The sequence below is a fragment of the Homo sapiens genome, chromosome 8 (genome assembly GCF_000001405.40).
Source record: "Homo sapiens chromosome 8, GRCh38.p14 Primary Assembly".
NCBI classification, from domain to species: Eukaryota; Metazoa; Chordata; class Mammalia; order Primates; family Hominidae; genus Homo; species Homo sapiens.
Genome location: NC_000008.11, coordinates 103,480,277 through 103,502,646, shown reverse-complemented (window position 1 = coordinate 103,502,646; position 22,370 = coordinate 103,480,277). Strand labels below are relative to the sequence as shown.

Here is a 22,370-nt window from a genome sequence, read left to right as displayed (position 1 = left end):
AAAAAAAAAGTTAAGCACAGTAAGAAGTATGCTCAAAAAGCTTCTAAAAATAATGCTTTATTCTTCTATTAGTTAGAGTAAACTGCTTAAGTCTCTTAATTTCTTCATATCTGAAGGCTGTTAATAAATAACATTCCCAAATAAGTATTCAACGCCAGAAATTAGCTTTCATGAAGACATTCTTAATTTCAGTTATTTCAGGAACATATTTGCTCTTTTAGCCACTCAATATTTTGTGAGAAATAGTATCTTTCTCTAAGATTTGTGAATATTTGATGTTTGCTACTATAAATTATTTAAAGTGGTATTTTTCATTAAAATATGAAAATATATACCTATTGACAATGAAACCTGTTTCTTTATTAGTACATGAAAGACTACTAAATTCAACAACCTGCTTTTAAAATGTACCTGAATAGAGGTGAGTGTATTAGTTCCTTCACAGAGGAACTCTACACTTTCAATTGTATATTTCTGTGGAGAATATGGGAAACGTATACTTGACAAAACGCAAAAGAATCATCTGAATAACTCATTTCAAGTAAAAAGAAAAAAGCCAAGCTGGAAAAACATAAAAAGGTTACACATCTTCTGAATAACCTCTTTCACAAAGTAACTGAGAAATCAAATAACCATAAAACATTCAAAAGCAAACCTTGTAGAAACAAATCTCTTTGCTACGCTAACCAGAAAAGTAGTCTCAGAGCTAAAGATAACCCTGTCTGGACAGTTCCCTGGTGCTGAAGTTCCAGAGCCGGTAAACGCATGCCTGGGTGCTGCTTTCACTCCTACCACCCTCAGAAAAACCCGGCCTGCCAAGACCGTGAGCAAGAATAGTAGAACTTCACAAGGTAGGGAGCATCCCAAACTGCAGTGATGGTAGGAACTGGAGTCTCTTCAGGATTAAACAGATTTACTAGTTGCAAACAGGAAGAGCAGCAGAGTGCAGGGTGTTAGCACTCGCCGAGGGGGAGGGGCTGGAAGATGGCGGCGGACGCACACCCACCCGACCGCGACAGAGCTTAGGCCCCTAGCCCGCGCCGCCGCCCGCTGCTCGCAGCCACTGTGGGCAGCCCTGCTCTGTCCCGCGTTGCTGGTAGAGCCGCCCCGCGGAGGCGTGGGACCAGGGTGGCGTCCGCATCCCCTGCCAGCGCGCCTTCGCCCGGGTCCGTCCAGGGAGCACCTGTGCACGGCCATATTGGATTCTGTGCCCCAGTCACTGCCTCAGCGCGGCGGGAAAGGAGAGGGTACGCACAGAGCCTGGGTTCAGCCCCAGTCCCGCTGGGGCCCCGGAGCCAAGATGACCAGCGAGGAAATCCGGAAAGGCGCCAAGGAAAATCACACCGCCTAAGGCTCGCCACCCTCACCTCAGCCGGCCTTGGCGCCCTCCCTCCCCGACACACACCCCTGCTCTCAGACACCCCTAAAACAGCCCGGGCGGCCGGCGCTGGCCGCAGCCCTCGTGGCCTGGGCGCCGCCAGCGGGAGGGAGGGCGGCGAACTGGGGCGCGCAGGCGGCCGCAGGGCAGTGGGCGAGGGGGCGGAGGGCAGGGAGAGAGGCGGGAATATGGAGCCAGGTCCTTACTTGAGCACGGACTGCTCCTTCTCCTCTTCTTTCTTCTGCCTATCCATGACGGCCAGGATGATTTTCCTCTCCTCCTCCGTGAGGTGGCTGAGGTCAGGCATCTCGGGCTGCAGAGGCGGCTGAGAGGCCGCCGGGATGGGAGCCAGGCGGCCCCGGGGCCCGACAGGAGCCGACATGTTTGGTGGAGCCGAACCACCCTAGGGAAGCGGGGAGGCAACTCCACTGGCAGCGGCGGCACCGGCGCGGCGGCTGGGGCAGCCTCCAGCGCTGGGACAAATACATACAAATCAATGGCCTTCAATCCAAGGCGACAGCCCCCCTCCCCCAAGAAAAGCAGGGGGAGGGGAGGGCGAGCGCGTGGGGAAGGAGGGCTGAGGAGTGCGCTTCGGGAAATGTTTCTTCTTCCCGGGGGCGAAGGGCTGTGAAGTGAGCGGTTCAAGGGAAAGGGGAACTGGAGGCCGGGACGCGGAGTGCGCGGAGAGGCGGGGGAGGGTGGTGGAGTAAGGTGGCGGGGACAGCTAAGGGTGGGGTGACTGGAGGGAGCAGGCGGGAGGGCGACAGGCGGACCGGGGCGCGAGTGTGTCCGGCCGCGGTCAGGGCCGGGAGCGCGCGCGCCGCCTCGGAGGGGAAGGGGTGCCTGCGAACAAGCCCCCGGGGAACTCGCTTCGAGCGCCCGGAGGCGGAGTACTGCCGGCCCGAGGGGCACCCAGGCGGGAGCCGAGAGGGTCGTGAGGAAGCGAGGACGGTTTCCCGGAGAAGCAACTCATCCGTCCCGCCGGCTGACGCATCACAGGGCTCCCGCGCGCCACAGAGGGAGAACTCCTCCAGGCACACCCGGGAGCGGGCCGCGGGGCCGGAAACCCCCGCGGAGACCCCAACCCCACCCACCCCACCCCCGGCTAGAGTGGAGAAGCGAAAGCGGAGAAGATATGACGGGGGCTAGCGGCGGAGAGTCCCGGGGCCAGGGCCCTTCGGCTGCCAACGCCCGGATCCAGGCGAGCTCCGACGTGCAGCGGGGTCTGGCGCCGGCCCCTCCTCATCACGCGCCCGGCCCAGGGTCGCTCAGCCGCCGCCACCGCCGCCGCCCCTTGGGTCGATGGAGTCGGCGCGGAAGGCCCGCGCGCCCTGCGCCGCCGCCGCTCAGTGCCGCCGCCAGCACCTCCTCCGCCCCTCCGCCTCCCGGGCTCATCCCGCGGGGGCGGCGTCACCTCCTCGCTGCCCAGGCCCGGGCACCGCGGGCGCCCCGCGGGCGGCAGCCGCCCCTCCCGAGCGCGATCTCCAGGCTGGGTCCGGGGCCGGGCGGGGAGGGAGGAGAGACTGAGCGTGAAGGGAGAGGGCGCCCGAGTTTTCGGGGACGGAAGTGTGGAGAATAGGAGCGTGTGAGGGGGCGCCCGAGGTGTCGGGGGCGGGGGAAGAGTATGAGCAGGGGTGGGGGCAGGGGTGCCAGGTGTAGCAGGTAGGGAGGTAGAGGCGGCGAGTGGGGGCGCCCGAGGGACCGGGGCGGGGCGGGGAGCGTAAGGGTGGCAAGGCGCCCGAGAGTCAGGGCTGGAGCTGAAGGTGGGTGACAGGGAGGGGGCGCCCAGGTGTCAGGACCTGAGGAGAAAGAGTGCGCGTAGCGGGAGGGCCCCGAAGTGTCGGGGCGGGATCCTGGAAGGAGGGAGAACGTGAGGAGGGAGGAAGGGTCCCTGGGGTGTCAGGGATGGGGGCCAGGAAAGGGGCAGAGAGCTGGAGGCCCACAAGTGGGGATAGCGGGGGAGGGAGGTTGGAGCGAGTGGGGAACGCAGGTGGTGTCGAGGGCGGGGACAGGGCGAGGGGAGCGGGGCGTGAGGAAGTTGTGGGAAACCGCGCTGGACGCTGAGAATGTGCGGAAGGATCCTGAGGGGAGGACGCGAGACAGCGCGAGGAGAGACGAGGAGAGTTAGGGTTGGCCGGGAGGGTGCGAAGATGAAGCGACCACTGGAGGCTGTGAGGGTGAAAGGAGCAAGAATCGTCTAGAGACGGGCTGGGCCGGTGCTGGGGCCAAAGGCTTCTGTCTGTCAGGCCCTTTTTGGCGCTCACTCTAGAAAGAAGAGGCGGAGACGCGAAGAGATCGGGTTAGAGTCAGATTTTCGAAGCACGGAGATGGGTTCAATGAAAGGACGAGGAAAGACGAGAAACCAGCGGCCGGAGAACGGAGGTGGCCGCCGCCGTCCTTTGCTCTGCTCGGGGCTGGGCGCCGCCCGGAGAGCCCTCCCGGAGGGGGCGGGGCGGGGCCGGGTGAACAGAGCTGGGCGGGCTCGCCAGCTCTTCCAGGCGCCCTGGGCAAGCAATGTGGGTGACTGAGCTCGGGTGTGTGTGCCTGTGTGTGTGTGTGTGTGTGTGTGTGTGTACGTACACAAGTGAGCGTGTGTGCGCACCCCACCCAGCCTTCCACACGCGCGCTGCTTAGTACCAGGCCATATTGTGGTCTGATGAGTAACGTAAGCCTTTGGGGTTTATATTTACCTTCTTGATGTGTAGTAAGTGCTCTCCCTCCTCCCTCTGTTCCCCAGGTACCGTCTGACTAGCTCCCCATTTAAGAGAGCTGGGGACAGGCAAAGCAGCCCTGGAAGTCTCCTGTGATTTCTAAGCTTAAATGTCTATTTTTCTTTTCTCCCATGCCTTGTAATTGGGAAGAGGGAAAAGTTTACTTAAGAGCTGTTTTTTAAATTATTACTAACTTGTTTCAAACAACACTCTCATACTCCAGATAATTCAATTTTCATCTCTTTGGAGCTGAGCAAACCAGATGAAATTATATGAATCCCAGTTTATTTCATTTTGTTGTAGAGTTCAACAATTTTTATGAATTTCTAATCCAACCTCATCATCCTATGGGAAACAGAAGACCACCAAGAACAGCCAGCTGGTAAGTGGCGGGGCTGGAACTAGAACCTAGATGTTTTTAAGCAACTTTGAAACCATGCTGGTTTTCAACCGTAGCTGCACACTAAAATTACCTGGCTCACTTTTTTTTTTTTTTTCCAGTCATCTGAGTTAAAGATTCACTGGGTCACTTTTTTAAAATACCACCTGGGCCCATAGGTCAAATGAATCAGACTCTGGTGTTAGGACCCTGGCTGTGAATATAGTTTGAAAGTTCCCCAAGTGATTAAGGTATAGCAAATGTTGAGAACTGCACTATATGCATTGCAAAATAAATAACGGAGAAGGAAAAAAAAAGTGACAAACTAAAAAAAAAAGCGACAACTAAAACCAACAGTTTTAAAGAGAACATAATTTTTTACCTGAAATTGAAATTGACGCTTACTATCCGTACTTTCCTCTCATACACAATGACAGGTACCAGTAAATACATTTATCTTTGACTTTCGCTTAGGAAAACCTAAGTGCTGCTAAAATCCACAAACTGCTCCTTTAGAAGAAAGGAGAGCAGAACTAAAAATAATCAAAAGGAATGGGTGGAACAGTCTACCTTATTCAACTATTTCTGTGCCAGATTTAAAAAAACAAACACCACTTCCCACCCCCAGCTAACTATCAACCCAAGCAGAACCAGAAGCCAGAATATACACACTACTCTGAGGTTTAAACTTTTTGAGGTTAAAATAGCTTAGTTATTTTGAGTCTATAAAATGTGAACTTCAAAGTCATGGTCCAAATTAGACGATTTTGGCTTCCTTTACAGTAGAGGGTCACCCCCTGGGCCCTGCACTGCTTTCTAGCGGTCATATGGTTAGCATGCTGGGTGCCTGAGGCTGTGTCTCCCTGCACCCCCACCCATGCTTCGCCTACCTGGAGACAGTGCCAGCTCATGAAATACAGTGGGCATGAGCCAGTATCACTGGAACATATGACTTTTTACAGGAATGAAGCAGAAGTGAGTGGGGTTACTGTTACGGTGTTTCCTTTTTACAGTTTTTACTACAACTAGATGTGTTTTTCCTATTAAAGGGACTACTTAGGAGTGGAAGGAAGTCTTTTAAACCATCTTCCACTGTTATTCACACACCTGGACGAAGTAAAAATTTGTCACAGTATTTATATATCGCATACATAGAATATATATCATATAGAATTTTTAAATTGGCTTTAGCGTAAATGAACTACTTTTCAAAATACTTGCCCCAGTTTGACATAAAATTGCTGGGCTCAGAACTAAAGAAAGTAAAATGTATTCACAAGATCTCTGTCTTTTGGTCTTTCTACAATATGGATCTTAGAGGTGTTTTGTTTGTTTTGGTACAGTGTTTTACTTAAAATCTTCATCACATCTGACTTTGTCCTGTACAGCATTATCTTTTACTTTGGCCTGTCCCTCAGTGTATGAACACATTTAAAGTTGAGTCAAAACCAGTATTCTTCGTTAACTTTAGAAGTAACAGCTGTCTTCATCACTGAATTTTCAAGTCTTGACAGGCCATAAACTAATCCCAAAATGCAAGTCCTGGCCAGGCACTGTGGTTTACACCAGTAATCCCAGTACTTTGGAAGGCCAAGGCAAGAGGATCCCTTGAGCCCAGAAGTTCAAGGCTACAGTGAGCTATGATTGCTCTGCCGCACTTCAGCCTGAGTGACAGACTGAGACCCTGTCTTAAAAAACAGGCTGGCTGGGCATGGTGGCTCACGCCTGTAATCCCAGCACTTTGGGAGGACCTGGGTGAATCACCTGAGGTCAGGAGTTCCAGACCAGCCTGACCAACATGGTGAAATGCCGTCTCTACTAAAATACAAAAATTAGCCGGGCATGGTGGCGGGTGCCTGTAATCTCAGCTACTCGGGAGGCTGAGGCAGGAAAATCACTTGAACCCTGAAGGCAGAGGTTGCAGTGAGCCAAGATCATGCCACTGCACTCCAGCCTGGGCAACAGAGCGAGACTCTCTCTCAAAAAAAATAAATAAATACAGATAAAAAACAAACAGGATGGGCATGGTGGCTCACGCCTGGAATCCCAGCACTTTGAGAAGCCGAGGCGGGTGGATCACCTGAGGTCAGGAGTTCAAGACCAGCCTGGCCAACATGGTGAAAACACGTCTATACTAAAAATACAAGAAATTAGCCAGGCCTGGTGGCAGACACCTGTAATCCCAGCTAGTTTGGAAGCTGAGGCAGGAAAATCACTTGAGCCTGGGAGGCAGAGGTTGCAGTGTGCTGAGATCAGGCCACTGCACTCCAGCCTGGGTGACAGAGTCCAAAAAATAAAAAACAAGCAAACAAACAAAAAACTGCAAGTCCTTTCTGCAGTTCCTATAGGCTCTTGAAGTCTATGATTCTGTGAACTTTCATTTTTACATACGAGTAAGGGCTACTTGTAATCTAGTAAATCAGTATTAGGAGGTATATCTAAAGTCACAAACTAAAATAGTTACCTCACGAGAATTTACTGAGGACCTAGTACTCTGCTACAAAAGCTGGGTGTTTCACGATGCTCAGAATCATTGCAGTGCCCCTTAGTGCATGTAAATATACTTCGATGGTTGGCATTTCTATCGATTCTCATAACAGGTTTCCCTGCTTCTGTGCTTGCAGCTCTATAGTCTCTTCTCAACACTGCACAAACCAGAAGCCTCCTAAAACATTAGATCAAAACACTCTGCTGGTCAAAATCCCAAGGTGGCTCCCCACTTTATTCACAAGCGTTCTTTAAATGGCTTACAAGTCCCACATGATCACTGACTTCATCTCCTAGTACTTTCTTTTAGGCTTTCCTCGAGCTGTTCCCTGTGCCTAGAATACCCTTCGCTAAGATACTCACTTGGCTAAATCCCTCTTCCTCAAATTTTTGCTCAATTGTCCATCTTATTTAATAGTCCTACCTGCCCCACACCCTCCCTGGTCATTATGATGATCTTCTTTACCTTACCCTACTTTTTCTTCTTCCCACAGCACTTACCACTCTCTCTGACAACAGTATTTTTACTCCAAGTTAAATATATACCAGTTTATTATATTTATCATCTACTTCCTTGTACTTCAATATAAGCACAAGGACAGGGTATGCATTTTATTAATGTATCCCAAACACTTAGAACAATACATGGCACATAGTAGGTGTTCCAACAAATATTTGTTCAATAAATTTCTGGAAAGAGGATTTGACATTATATTTGTCTAAGTTGGGCAGCAAAAGGGAAAAAGCATTCTGAAAAAAGAGAAAAGCAGTGCAAATAAGTAAGACCTAAAGTATTTGCCAAACTGTACAGATTCCTTTAGGATTAAATTGCTGTCTACCTCTCTAGCGTTGCCTCCAACCCAGCCTACAAACACATCCTCCTCTTCAGCCATGACGGTCTACTTGCACTTTACTGAATATGTGAATTGTCTCATCTCTCTGACTTTCTATTCCCTCAGCTTAGATCACCTTTTCTACTCCCTCTCTCATAACTTTCTTAGTTAATTTCTTTGTCTTCACCATATACTCATCCCTCTCTCTCCCTTTCTTCCACGTGTTTTCCCTAGACTGTCATACCAATATACCTACTGTGCTTATAGATAGCACTTGTCACAGTGTGTTGTGGCCATTTATTTCCTTGTCTGTCTCGACTGGACCATGAATTCTTTAAGATCAAGTAATGTGCCTTCAACTTCAGTTTCCCCAGGGCTTATCAGAGCGTCTCATACATTATAGAGACTCAATAAATGTATACTGAAAAAATATATGAGCAGTCACAAAATAATGAGAAAATTACAGTTGTTAGAGTATGAAGAAAGGGAGGCAAAGAGTTGTAGCAAAAGATAAAGCTGGAGAAATTGGTTGTTATAAGATTATGCTACAATCCTATATGCTGTGCTGAAGAATTTGAACTTATATCATTAGACAGTGGAGGTTTTTTAGTGAGAGAACTGACATGATCAGCTTTGATTTTCAGGAGGATATCCTGCCTTCAGTTCTTCACCCATGTCTAAAATGCCTACTAGTAGAATACTCAATGGACACAGATGCATAATGGTTTGGGCCTGGAGACACAAATAACAGAATTTTTTGCTTCCTGCTTTCAGAATTTATTTTTGTAGCTATTTTGCTCAGTAGATTATAACAGCATGATAATGAGGCCAAGGTCATGGTTTAAATCCCTGAGTGAGTCAGTCAGTGCAGTGGCCACAGCTGACTGTTAATCTTTGCCAGTTGTCAGATGACAACATGTTATTTCTTGACCAGGAATTGGGTGAGAGACTATGACTGGTTCATCCAAAGTTAATCACCATTATTGTAGAAGCAACTCAAAGTACATGGCTATTGGTTATAGGACTATAATTTCATTTTAATGAAAATAATAGTATTATATTAGTGATGACCAAAGAGCACAACCTCAGAGAGAAACATACATTGTTTGTTCCTGGAGAAGAAGCTAGAGATTAGTAAAATTTAATTATTGGAATTCAAGGCCAAAAAATAATGAAAAACTTAATGGATGTTAGTGTAGGTAAGCATTATTAATTACTTTTTGTGTATTTAGCAATATAGGAAGTTATTTATTATTATGTCATAAAACTCATAGAGCTATTCATATTAAAAGTGGGAACATAATAATTGTCTTTTTTTTTTTTTTTTTGAGACAGAGTCTCGCTCTGTTGCCCGTCTCAGCTTCCTTAGTAGCTGGGATTACAGGCGCGCACCACTACATCTGGCTAATTTTTGTATTTTTAGTAGAGACAGGGTTTCACCATTTTGGCCAGGCTGGTCTCAAACTCCTGACCTCAAGCAATCCACCCACCTCGGCATTCCAAAGTGCTGGGATTACAGGCATGACCCACCTTGCCCAGCCTTCATCTTTCATTTATAGCATTATAAAGTTGTTTCTATTTTTGCTTCCCTCCTAGCAATCAATAAGCACATCTGTAAAGTGAAATAGGACTATATTAGAGGTAGAGACATAGCATAACTGATGTTATTTTCTTAATTACATCTTTATCCTTTTTTATTTAACTTTTAAGTTCAGGGGTATGGTGGGCGTGGTGGCTCATGCCTGTAATCCTAGCATTTTGGGAGGCCGAGGCGGGTGGATTGCCTGAGCTCAGGAGTTCGAGACCAGCCTGGGCAACACGGTGAAACCCCATCTCTACTAAAATACAAAAAATTAGCCAGGTGTGGCGGCATGCACCTGTAATCCCAGCTACTCAGGAGGCTGAGGCAGGAGAATTGCTAGAATCCGGGAGGCGGAGGTTGCAGTGAGCCGAGATCGCACCACTGCACTTCAGCCTGGGCAACAGAGCAAGACTCCGTCTCTAAAAAAAAAAAAAAGAAAGAGAAAAAGTTCAGGGGTACAAGTGCAGGTTTGTTACATAAGTAAACTTGTGTCTTGAGAGTTTGTTTTACAGATAATTTTGTCACCCGGGTATTCAGTCTAGTACCCATTAGTTGTTTTTTCTGATCCTCTCCCTCCTCCCACCCTCCACTGTTCGATAGACCCCAGTGTGTGTTGTTCCCCTGTATGTGTCCATGTGTTCTTATCATTTAGCTCCCTTACAAGTGAGAACATGCGGTATTTGGTTTTCTGTTCCTGTGGTAGTTCGCTAAGGATAATGGCCCCCAGCTCCATCCATGTTCCTATAAAGGACTTGATCTCATTCTTTTTTATGGCTACATAGTATTCCATGGTGTATATGTACCACATTTTTTTTTTATCCAGTCTACAATTGGTGGGCATTTAGGTTGATTCCATGTCTTTATAACAGAACAATTTCTATTCCTTTGAGTATATACCCAGTAATGGGATTGCTGGGTCAAATAGTATTTCTTTTTTTATATCTTTGAGGAATCGCCATGGTGTCTTCCACAATGGTTGAACTAATTTACACTCCCACCAACAGTGTATAAACGCTTCTTTTTCTCTGCAACTTCAGCAGCATCTGTTATTTTTTGACTTTTTAATGATCGGCATTCTGACTGGTGTGTGATGGCATCTCATGGTTTTGATTTGCGTTTTTCTAATGATCAGTGATATTGAACTTTTTTTCATGTTATTATTAGCCACGTGTATGTCTTCTTTTGAGAAATGTCTGTTCATGTCCTTTGCCCACTTTTTAATGGGGTGCTTTGGTTTTTTCTTTATAAATTTGTTGAAGTTTGCTATAGATGCTGGATATTAGACTTTTATAAGATGCATAGTTTGCAAAAATTTTCTCCCATTCTATAAGTTGTCTGTTCACTCTGTTGATAGTTTATTTTGCATGCAGAAGCTCTTTAGTTTAATTAGATCCCATTTGTCAATTTTTGCTTTTGTTGCAATTGCTTTTGGCATCTTCGTCATGAAATCTTTGCCCATTCCTATGTGCAAGATGGTATTGCCTAGGTTGTGTTCCAGGGTTTTTATAGTTTTGAGTTTTACATTTAAGTCTTTAATCTATCTTGAATTAATTTTTGTATATGGCATAAGGAAGGGATCCACTTTCAATCTTCTGCATATGGCTAGCCAGTTATCCCAGCACCATTTATTGAATAGAGAGTCCTTTCCCCATTGCATGTTTTTGTCAGATTTTGTCAGGTACGTGTGTGGCCTTATTTCTGGGTTCTCTATTCTGTTCCATAGGCCTGTGTGTCTGTCCTTGTACCAGTACTATGCAGTTTTGGTTACTGTAGCCGCATAGTATAGTTTAAAGTTGGGTATAGTGTGCTGCCTCCAGCTTTGTTCTTTTTGCTTAGGATTGCCTTGGCTAGTTGGGCTCTTTTTTGGTTCCATATTAATTTTAAAATAGTTTTTTTTAGTTCTGTGAAGAATGTCTTTGGTATTTTAATAGGAATAGCATTGAATCTAAACTGCCTTGGGCAGTATGGCCATTTTAACAAACTGATTCTTCCTATCCATGAGCGTGGAATGTTTTTCCATTTGTTAGTATCATCTCTGATTTCTTGAGCAGTGTTTTGTAGTTCACCTTATAGGGATCTTTCACCTATGGTTAGCTGTATTCGTAGATATTTCATTCTTTTTTTGGCAATTATGAATGAGATTGTGTTCCTGATTTGGCTCTCGGCTTGACTGCTGTTGGTGAATAGGAATGCTAGTGATTTTTGTACATTGATTCTTGTATCCTGAGACTTTGCTTTGCTGAAGTTGTTTATCAGCTTAAGGAGCTTTAGGGCCAAGACTATGGGGTTTTCTAGGTATAGGATCCTGTCATCTGCCAAAAGGAATAGTTTGACTTTCTCTTTTCCACCCTTTATTTCTTTCTCTTGCATGACTGCCCTGGCCAGGACTTTTAATACTGTGTTGAATAGGAGTGGTAAAAGAGGGCATCCTTGTCTTGTGCCAGCTTTCTAGGGGAATGCTTCCAGTTTTTGCCTGTTTAGTATGATGTTGGCTGTGGGTTTGTCATAGATGACTCTTACTATTTTTAAGGTATGTTCCTTCAAACCTAGTTTATTGAGAGTTTTTAACATAAAGGGTGTTGAATTTTACTGAAAGCCTTTTCTGCATCTATTGAGATAATCATGTGGTTTTTGTGTTTAGTTCTGTTTATGTGATTAATCACACTTATTGATTTGCGCTATGTTGAACCAACCTTGCATCCCAGGGATGAAGCCTACTTGATCATGGTGGATAAGTGTTTTGTGTGTACATCTTTATCTTAATTATAACTCTGACTGCTTACAGAAGTAAAACAACTGAATTTTATGAGATCAGAAATAAATTTAAAACTCCTAATGAACAAGTGGACCTAGATATTCAATATCGATTAAACAACAACGGCTGCTAACATCAAAGAAAATAGACAACCAGGCATTGTATGCTTCCTGATAGAGCAACACAACACCCCCCCATGAAGTTGTCTTGCTAAAAACAAAACAAAATCAGATCTGAAATTGAACATCTTCTAGTTTCACCTATCAATTTACAGGAAATAATGGAGACAGAGGAATGTATTAAACTGTACCAGGAGATTGCCGTCTGTGGAACACTTGAGAACATTCTACATGACAAAACCCAGTTTTTTCAGCATATTGCAAGTAGGATATATAGTTAAGATTAAAAGACATCAACCAAGTGCAAATAATTCATGAAATTTCATTTAGAACCTGAATTTTTTTCTTTTGCTTTCTTTCTTTTCTTTTTTTAGAAACAGGGTCTTGCTCTGTCATCCAAGCTGGAGTGCAGTGGCACAATCATAGCTCACTGCATCACTGCAGCCTTCACCTCGTGGGCTCAGGTGGTCCTCTTGGCCTTAGGCTCCTGAGTAGCTACAACCACAGGCAGGTACCACCACACCTGGCTAATTTTTAAAAAATTTTTTTGCAGAGACAGAATTTCACTGTGTTGCCCAAGCCAATCTTAAACTCCTGGTCTCAAGCGATCCTCCTGCCTTGGCCTCCCACTGTGCCTGGCCTATGGACTCTGAATTTTTTTAAAAGACTGGAAAAAACTTTTATAAGAGAATTGGAAATTTGGACAGTAAGTATTTGAAGATAATAGGGAATTATTGTTAATTTTAGGATAATAATTGTATTGTAATGATATTAAAAATAAATCCTTAGTGATAAATACTAAAATAATTCTGGATGAAATGATGTGATATCTGAGATTTGCTTCAAAATAATATGACTAGCAGGATTGGCAATGGAAGATCAGAAAAAAAATCTGCATAATAAGTTTTCACAAAGAGATTGAGTCTTCTAGCTTCCTTTCTGGTTGCCTTTCATTAAACTAGAACATCAGCAAACTCAGATAACCTTTTATCAAGCATTCATTATTTGACACATACTGTGTCAAGTGCTGTCACATTTTTTTACCTTCTCATTCTGTGAAAAATTAGTATCATTCCATTTTACAGGTAAGACAACTGAGCTTCAGAGGGGTTAAATGATGTGACCAAAGGGAGTGCTTGAAATTCAAGGCTAATTTTCAAATCTAGGTCTCCTGGCTCCCTGTCCAGTATTCATTCCGCTATACGCATTTGCTCAATATGATTGTATGCATATATTTGGTTTCCCTGACTCAAATCTGAGCACACTTTTATTGTAGTGCCTGTCATATAATAGGCATCATAAAGTAGTTATATTTAACCCAACATGGTCCCTAATAACTATCATACGTACAATGTGAAAATACAAGTATAACAGAAACTGATATTTAATTAAGGTGACCATATGTTCCACTTTGTCTGACACTATCTCAGTTTTCCCAAGACAGTCTTTATTTAATCTGTTGATCAGGTATGATTATTAATTACAACTCCTTTCACTCCCCACAGTATCCCAGTTTGCAGTTCACATTACATAGTCTTGCTAAATTTAGTGTAACATGAATTAGACTCAGATGCACAATATGTAATGGGTGTAGAAAATCTTTAAAATCTAGACAATATGTTCCTAAAGCAAAGGTGTATGTCGTGACCATCCTGTAATCGCAATACTACATGTAGACATTTAATAAATATTGGTTGAAATTAAGTTAATTAATTCCCCAATAGAAAAGAATAAATCACTCTGATTAGGTTATATTCTCCCCAGGAAAAGATTTTTGACACCAGCTGGAATTCAGAAATAACTATTAATAATAGAAATACCAGGAATACTGAGCCCATCTTCTAATAAAGTTTCATGGCAAAAAAAAAAAATGAGTCAAACTACCCAGGGGTTTGTGAGAAAAGCATTATAATTGATATAGAAGTAATCAACATAGGCCTGATATTCAGTGCAAGAAGATAAAGTCATAGCAAGCTTCCCAACTGGAAAAAAAAGTAATCACTGTTTATGTAAAATCATATAGGAAGTGACTATAGAAATTTGGGGCAAAATTTGGGAAATTAGAAATAGCCTGCAATCCAAGATTTCCCACAACTGTGGCTTTCTGAAACAAAAGGTGGGTTTATCTTCCACAGTGTGACTGACTGCTGTATGCTTCAAATGTCCCCCTGTGCCTACGAGGATTGATTTAATCTTATCTAGATGGTGCCTGATCCAACTGCTTTCCTCCATGTCCTTTACTCTGCCAGACACTATGAAATTCAAGAAACCTCATCCTAGATCTGATGAAAGGAGATGCAAAGCTTACTATCAGCTGTGTACTGATGGTACTGCATCCCTAATTACTTCACTATCTTTCTGATTAGCATCATATAACACTAAAGTGAAAGGGAGACAGAAAAAAGCCATGTCGTTTCCCAGAAGGGAAGAGTAAAGAAGGGTTAGCAGAAGAAATCAAGAAGTAACCCAACTTTATTAGACTCTTTATCTTACTAGTGGAGAGAAATTTAGTTCATCCCAATACCAGAGAAAGAAAAATAAGTTTGTCATGTTTATTAGCTGCATATTTTATGGGGTGCCTAGTATAAAGAAAATGTTACCATGCCAATAATTTTGGAAAAGTCATTCAACTTTGAAGGCTTCAGTTTTCCCCTTGTAAAATAAAAATTCTCTATAAAGTGATCAGTAAGAATTTTTTTTCTTTTTTTTTTTTTTTTTGAGATGGAATCTCATTCTGTCACCAGGCTGAAGTGCAGTGACGTGATCTTGGCTCACTGCAACCTCCACCTCCTGGGTTCAAGCGATTCTCCTGCCTCAGCCTCCTGAGTAGCTGGGATTACAGGTGCGTGCCACTATGCCAGTTAGTTTGAAGTGGAGGCTGAGATTCTGCATTTCTCTCGAGCTCCAATTGATGCCTATACTACTGGTCTTGGGCACATTTTGAGTGGGGGAAGCGTATTCTACAGCAAGGAACTGTTATGGTGAGATTGTATTTAGGGAGGTTATTCTATGAGGAGATAGGAAGTGAAATGGAAGGAACCAAGAGTGGTATAAAGAGAAATATTAGAAGCAATAATAAAGGTCAAATCGAAAGTAAACAGTGGTGATGAAGATGGAAAGAAGGGGTATCTTTAAAATGTATTTAAGATGTAGGATGAATAGGACTTGGTGACCAGGCACCTGTGATAGATGAAGGAGAGAGAGGAGCCCACACAGTAATCCAGTCTCAATTTGATTTAAGTTAATAAAATCTTATTAAATAAGCCAGGTGTGCCTCTCGCCTGTAGTCCCAGCTACTCAGGAGCCTGAGATGGGAGGATCACTTGAGCCCAGGAGTTCAACTCCAGCCTAAGCAAGATAGTGAGACACTGTCTCTTAAAAAAAAAAAAAGAAAGAAAACAAAACAAAACCTCATTAAATGCACATTGAACAACATCTCAAGGATTAAAAAAAACACTGTAGAAGTACACTTGTTAGGCTAAAGCATTCAACTGCCACTTATTTAACCCTGCAATATTCTAGGGTTGATCTTCTGCTGTGTTGTCTAATATGGTAGCACTAGCCATAGCCATACTAACCACATGTGGCTATTGAAATTTAAACATATATTAATTTATTATGTTAATTAAGATTAAGTAACATTAAACATTCAGTTCCTCAGTTACACTAATCACATTTTAAGTGCTCATAGCTATATATGGCTACTGGCTGCCATTTTGCATAGTGCAGATATAAAATATTTTCACCTTGGAAGAAATTTCTCTTGAACAGCACTGATAGAGGATTAGTTAAGCATCTGTATTGCAAGAAGTCAACATGGAAAACATCCCATTGTCTTTATTTTTTGTTTACTTCTTTTAAAATGTATATTTTTCTTCTTGTAAGATGCTTTAATTTTTTTAATGTGATGGTCAATGAATTAAGAAATGGAAATATTCGTAAACCATATTGAAGGTGGGGAAATCTTGGCAGGCTCAACAACATGATTTTCTCTTAAGAAACAACATCATGCTTTGGAAATCCCAGAAGATCATAACACCCCTGAGGGAATGAGCTCATTTGTAAGTAAGTCTATGAGAATGATAACAGACATACTGCTCGCATGTAAGTAAGGGATAAATAAAGCTCAATTTCAAAGTCTTGTGCAACTGCCATGAGTAGCTTAGTCAAGAAGGAAGAACTAAGTATAGAGGTGTAAAGTTGGAATCTACAGGGCTTTCCTGTATAATAACAGTTAGCTTATCAATAGAAAAAGAAAGCTCTACCTCTTAGGACACTTCCAGTAACATATAAAGGAAATTCGACATAAAATGACAAACAATAAGGAAATTTATTGGCTCATGTAACTAGAAAATTCAGAAATAGATAATCAGAATTGATTAATCCAGCAGCCTAGTTATTTTGTCAGGGACTCAAATTTCATTCTGGTTCTGTACTTTGCTGTCCATGGTATTGATTTTAACAGTGATTCCTTTCACAGACATAATGTGGCTGACAAAAACAGTCAGGCCTTTCCACAACTGAGCTAGTCTACTCCTATATCCATTCAATAGAAGTTCTGAACTGTGCACTAATTTGAGCACCTTTTATTCATCCCTGTGGCCAGGGCAGGCCATGCTCTGATGACTTAAGTCTGACTAACCTGAACCTATCTCTGTAGCAAGAGAGTGGGATTACTTGATAGGCTTGACCCAACAAAACCACATGGTTGCCACATAATAGGGAAGGGTGAAATAGATGCTGGGAAATAATCATAATACTTAACTATGTTGGTGGACAGAAAGTATTATTTTTTAGTTTTCATTAATGTGAACTAATTTTTGAAATCTTTACATTTTAAGTACTTTTTTTCACACACACAAAAAATATGCTGTGGGCCAGGCGCAGTGGCTCACACCTGTAATCCCAGCACTTTGGGAGGCCAAGGCAGGCAGATCACTTCAGGCCAGGAGGTCCAGAACAGCCTGGCCAACATGGCGAAACCCCGTCTCTACTAAAAATACAAAAATTAGCCAGGTGTGGTGGCACGTGCCTGTAATCCCAGCTACTCAGGAGGCTGAGGAATGAGAATCGTTTGAATCTGGGAGGCGGAGTTTGCAGTGAGCTGAGATCGTGCCACTGTACTCCAGCCTGGGCGACAGAGTGAAACTCTATCTCAATATATATGTATATAATGTGAAGCGTAAAAGTGAGCAAATGATGTTGATTTCAGAATCACAATGAAAATAACAGAGATAGCATAAGGAAAAAAATAGCATGAAAGTAGTAAATTTTATATTTTCAATATAATCAAAAAATGAGGGAAAATAAAATTTTTAAAATGTCATGAAGAGATGATTGAGATATATCCAGATTTTACCCTAAAACTATAGATAAGAATCTTTGAAAAAATAAATAGCACCAAAAGTGAAATAGAAGGACTCTGACCACCCCACTGTTAAAACAATACATACATAGGAATTATTTACTTTATAAATAGAGTCCCTGTTATAATATATAAGCATGTATTGACTTGATGACCATGATAAGGTACAACCATAAACATGTTATTTCTTATCATTTCTTCACTCATAAGAGAATATTGGAGAATTTTTACCCAAGTTCACTATAAATATTACAAAAGGTTTTTTTTTGTTTTGAGATTTTTGAGCCTCAGCCTCCCAAGTAGCTGACAAAAGTTTTTGCAAACAACCAAAAGGACCCTAGATGGATGCAGGAAATTTTTTTAAAATAATGATGATGCCCTCACTTTGTTTTACCTTCACTTTAAGATTAATGATAAAATTATGGTTTCAACTATTATTTTAATGAAGCTAATATCTAAAACTGTATCTCCATTTTCAGTTATTCATTCCCAGTTGTCTATATAGCATGTATACTTGAGGGTTTCACTATCACCTCAAACTGAATATATCTAAAACAGTTTATACACTATCTCCTCCAAGAACAAAAAACCAATTCTTTCTCTGACTTCCATTTTTCTGTCATTGATGTCATCATTTTCCATAAATCTCCCAAGGAAGGAATGTCAAAAACATCCATGATTATTCCTTATGGTTTCTTATTTTTAATCAATTTCTACATACTATCAATTATCAGGTATTAATACATCAGTTATTTCTTTGTAATATTTCAGTTGTACTAAAATTTTATGCCAGAACTATTTTCCCTTGCTTCAGTCTCTTCTGTCCTTCTCCTCCAAATTATTCTGTATGCTGCTATCAAATTAATCGTTTAAAAACACCACTTTTATTATGAGGCAGACTAAAGCATTAGTTAAGAGTGCCTGCTCTGAGGTCAAATGCAAGGGTTTTATGTCACCTCTACTACTTAGTAGCCACTGTACTAAGCATGTTCCTCATTTGCAAAACAGGAAAAATCGTAGGACTTTGTTAAATACTGCAATAATTAAATGAGATAATATAAGTATCATGCCCAGCACATAATAAGTAGCCAGTAAATGTTTATTGTTTTTACATTCCCCAGTCAAAACCCATTAACTGACCTTGCCTACAAAAGGTCCAAAATCCATAGCTCAAGTTTTACATTTTTCTGCATCTGCCTCTGAACCATTTTTTTTTGTACACTTTTTACAGTTTACCATTACATTGTATACACCCTCCATCTTCAAAATATTGTTCTACTTTTTATCTTCCAGGGCTTTCTAACTTACTTGCATTTCTTGAGTACTACTTGTTTCTGGAACAATCTAACTTCTTTACTTATTTGAAATGTACCCATCTAAATCAGAAGGCTTTCAACTACATAAAACAAAACAAACCAACAAAACTTAAACTGAGTTAAACAGTAAGAAAATATATTGGTCCAGCAGTAAGACAGGCTTCACGTTGGCTTGATCCAGTGGCTCTACTTCTGTTTCTTTGCAGGTATCTTGGCAGTAACCTCCTCCATATATTTCCTTGGCCCTCAGCTTACATCTAGCAAAATGACTCTACTGGTTCCAGGCTTCACATGCATACAACATGGTGTTGGAGGAACAGAGATGTTTTCTCTTCCTGGTGTTTTCCCAGACATTTCTTAGCTGGCATTTCAAACAAGGGTCCTGAAATTCACCCTGGTTGGGTCGTGTTCTCCCCTTCCCATTCCCCATCCCCACCCTCAACCGAAAAATGATGTAAGCAGGGGAAATTGAATGTACCAATGTTTGTTTTTAAACAAGCCACAGACCCCTCCCCAACTCCCCGACTGAAGCTTGAAGTGGGATCAGCTTTCCCTAAAGTACTTGAGCTTATGGTAAAGCATATATGTTATCCAAGTTAAAGTCTGGACGCTGTTAGTAATGGGAAGGCAAGTAATGAATGTTAGCTATGGAGCCAACAGACAGTGTCCACTCCATTGTCTTTAAGGCCCAACTAAAGATAACCTCTTTACCAATGTCGGTTTATTTATTCATTTATTTATTCATTGAGATGGAGTCTCACTCTCTCACCCAAGCTGGAGTGCAGTGGAATGATCTCAGCTGACTGCAATTTCTGCCTCCCAGGTTCAAGCAATCTCCTGCTTCAGCCTCCCAAGTAGCTGGGATTACAGGCGCACACCACCATGCCCGGCTAATTTTTGTATTTTTAGTAGAGATAGGGTTTCACCATGTTGGCCAAGCTGGTCTCGGACACCTGACCTCAAGTGATCTGCCTGCCTCGGCCCCCAAAGGTGTGAGCCACTGCACCTGGCTACAATGTCAGTTTCTATAAAAACTGCCTTGACTTGTTTTGTTTGCTTGTTTTGTTTGTTTGTGTTTTAATTTTTATTATTTTTTTTTAGAGACAGGGTCTCAATCTGTTGTCTAGGCTTGAGTGCAGTGGTGCAATCATAGCTCACTGAAGTGTTGGACTCCCAGGCTCAAGCAGTCCTCCCACCTCAGCCTCCCAAGTAGCTGAGACTACAGGCATGCACCACCCTGTCTGGCTAATTTTTTATTTTTAGTAGAGATGAGGTCTCACTATGTTGCCCAAGGTGGCCTCAAACTCCTGGCCTCAAGTACTCCTGTGGCCTTAGCCTCCCAAAGCTCTGGGATTGCAGGTATGAGCCGCCATGCCTGGCCTACTGTATATTTTATGCATTTGATATAAGTCTTGCCTCCCTAAGTATATTACAAGTCCCTTGAAGTTAAAGACATTAGATTCCTACTCAGTGCTGAGCTGCAACAGAGAGCACTCAATGATGGATAAAATAGTTTTAGCATGCATTCAGCGATATATATTTAGAAAGTGGAACTAGGTGGTTGAAAAAAGTGTATAGATGGGTGGAAGGGAATATTACAGCTCTTAGAATTGTCCTAAGGTGAGAGTAACAAATTAAGCAATGAGTCCCTGGGTTCACTCAAGCAACTTCACTCTCTAAAACAAGAGCCCACAGAATCCCATTTCTGCTTTCAGAATGAGTTTGAGGCCAATATTATTTCCATTTTTTTTCTTTTTCTTTCTTTCTTTTTTTTTTTTTTTTTTTTGAGACGGAGTTTCACTCTTGTTGCCCAGGCTGTTTTGATCTCGGCTCACTGCAACCTCTGCCCCTGGGTTCAAGCGATTCTCCTGTCTCAACCTCCCAAGCTGGGATTACAAGCATGCGCTACCACACCTGGCTAATTTTGTATTTTTAATAGAGACGGGGTTTCTCTGTGTTGGTCAGGCTGGTCTCAAACTCCCAACCTCAGGTGATCTGCCCACCTTGGCCCAGCCTCCAATATGATTTTCTAATAGCTGTGTTTGATGATTATATTTATTCCTCCATCAGTAGCTTTTTTAGCCTTGAAAATATCTATTTAAGTTTCTTATTTCCTTTGGATCTATCAAAGTGTTTTTCCCCAAGTGGCACCTGGGAAAACATATTCTATTCATTTATTTTATAACTGTTCCCTTGACCTCTTTATTGCTTCCCTATTACAACCCAAGATGCTCTTGTAAACCTGACTTAATATTGGCAGTCTTCATCCCTTGCAAATGGAAGTGATGACAGACCCAATACTTTGTGTAAAAATATTTTGCTATTTCTATACAAAATATTTTATTAATGGAAACCACATGTTATGTATTTTACATATGTTATGACTTGAAATTTATGTTATGACTTGAAATTGGGGAATCTGATATGTCTCTAATAATAAAGGCTTCACAGTACAACTGTTGTTTGTAGATTTACAGATGGCTGGCATTTTAATTTTTTAATTTAAATTTTTAATTCAAATATGATTGACCTGAAATATTAACAAAAATTATCCTTGAATTGTTGCACTGCAAAATAAGAAAGCAAAATCAGCTATCTATGATGCAACATTTTATTTATAAATTAAGATTGTTAGCACTCATCTATTGATTTTTCTCTCTATTAAACATACTCCTAATAATAAAGGGAAGGAAGGATCTTTGTAAAGTTAAATTTACCGTAGCAAAGAATAGAGGTGATAATTAATAACATGTTAAAACTCCTTTCTAAAAGCAGATTCAATAAACAGTAAGTGTTCAAATAACTACTACAGTTTATCTTTCTCAAACCTTGAAAAAGAACATTCCAAGGTATTAGTTCTAATAGTTATTCTGTCTTTTCCACTGGATTATTATGAACTCCTTAAAAACATGTGAAATGTCAGCCGGGCACAGTGGCTAACGCCTGTAATCCCAGCACTTTGAGAGGCTGAGGCTGGCAGACCCCTTGAGTCCAGGAATTCAAGACCAGCCTGGGCAACATGGCAAAACCCTGTCTCTACAAAAAAATAACAAAAATTAGCCGACCATGGAGGTGCATGCCTGTAATCCTAACTGCTTGGGATGCTGCAGTTGGAGCATAGTTTGAGCCCAGGAGGCAGAGGTTGCTGTGAGCCGAGATCACACCACTGCACTCCAAAGAGAGACCCTGTCTCAAAAAAAAAATTAAAAAGAAAAAGAAATATGTAAAGTGTCTTATTTTTCTTTATATTTGCCTATTCTCTTAGCATAGTGTCTTTTACACCACTGAATATTTGTTGAATTTAATTTAAAATCAGTAAGTCCTGATAATAAGCCTACAATTGACAGGCAATGTTTTGACCCTAAAATATTGACATGTGAAAGAAAAATATCTAGGTATAGGAATATTATTTTCATTTAAAATGTTGAAGAATTTTTTCTATTGC

General features: G+C 42.2%; 1 protein-coding gene and 1 long non-coding RNA gene across 57 annotated transcripts in view, besides 2 other annotated features; one reads left to right on the top strand and one right to left on the bottom strand.

Annotated features, from left to right (window-relative positions):
* The window catches only part of RIMS2 (regulating synaptic membrane exocytosis 2), a 755,485-nt gene extending 753,448 nt beyond the window's left edge, over positions 1-2,037 (bottom strand). For all 47 annotated transcript variants that reach the window (NR_145710.2, XM_017014015.3, XM_017014010.3 and 44 more), the window contains exon 1: positions 1,585-2,037. Coding sequence is in view for 46 of the 47 variants with exons in the window: in XM_017014015.3 (XP_016869504.1) it covers positions 1,585-1,760 (176 nt within the window). In the remaining variant the exon portion in view is untranslated. The remainder of the gene's footprint in view (positions 1-1,584) is intronic.
* Positions 632-926: a silencer, noted in NCBI's record as "tiled region #6081; HepG2 Repressive non-DNase unmatched - State 4:PromP, and K562 Repressive non-DNase unmatched - State 10:DNaseD". NCBI's record gives its function as "represses a minimal TATA promoter and a strong SV40 promoter by Sharpr-MPRA in HepG2 and K562 cells {active_cell/tissue: HepG2 | K562}" and the evidence as "EXISTENCE:reporter gene assay evidence [ECO:0000049][PMID:27701403]".
* On the top strand, positions 737-21,367 carry LOC105375690 (uncharacterized). Of its 10 annotated transcripts, none has more exons than NR_145698.1 (5): positions 737-851; positions 4,393-4,471; positions 12,798-12,950; positions 14,966-15,086; positions 19,132-21,367. It is a non-coding gene; the product is annotated as an uncharacterized LOC105375690 (long non-coding RNA). The 10 variants fall into 10 exon arrangements; NR_145699.1 differs by lacking the exon at positions 737-851 and adding an exon at positions 959-1,247; NR_145705.1 differs by lacking the exon at positions 737-851 and adding an exon at positions 3,416-3,677.
* Positions 3,820-3,899: a silencer, noted in NCBI's record as "silent region_19459". NCBI's record gives its function as "represses an Ori minimal core promoter by ATAC-STARR-seq in GM12878 lymphoblastoid cells {active_cell/tissue: GM12878}" and the evidence as "EXISTENCE:reporter gene assay evidence [ECO:0000049][PMID:35858748]".
* Positions 21,368-22,370: the final 1,003 nt, after the last annotated feature.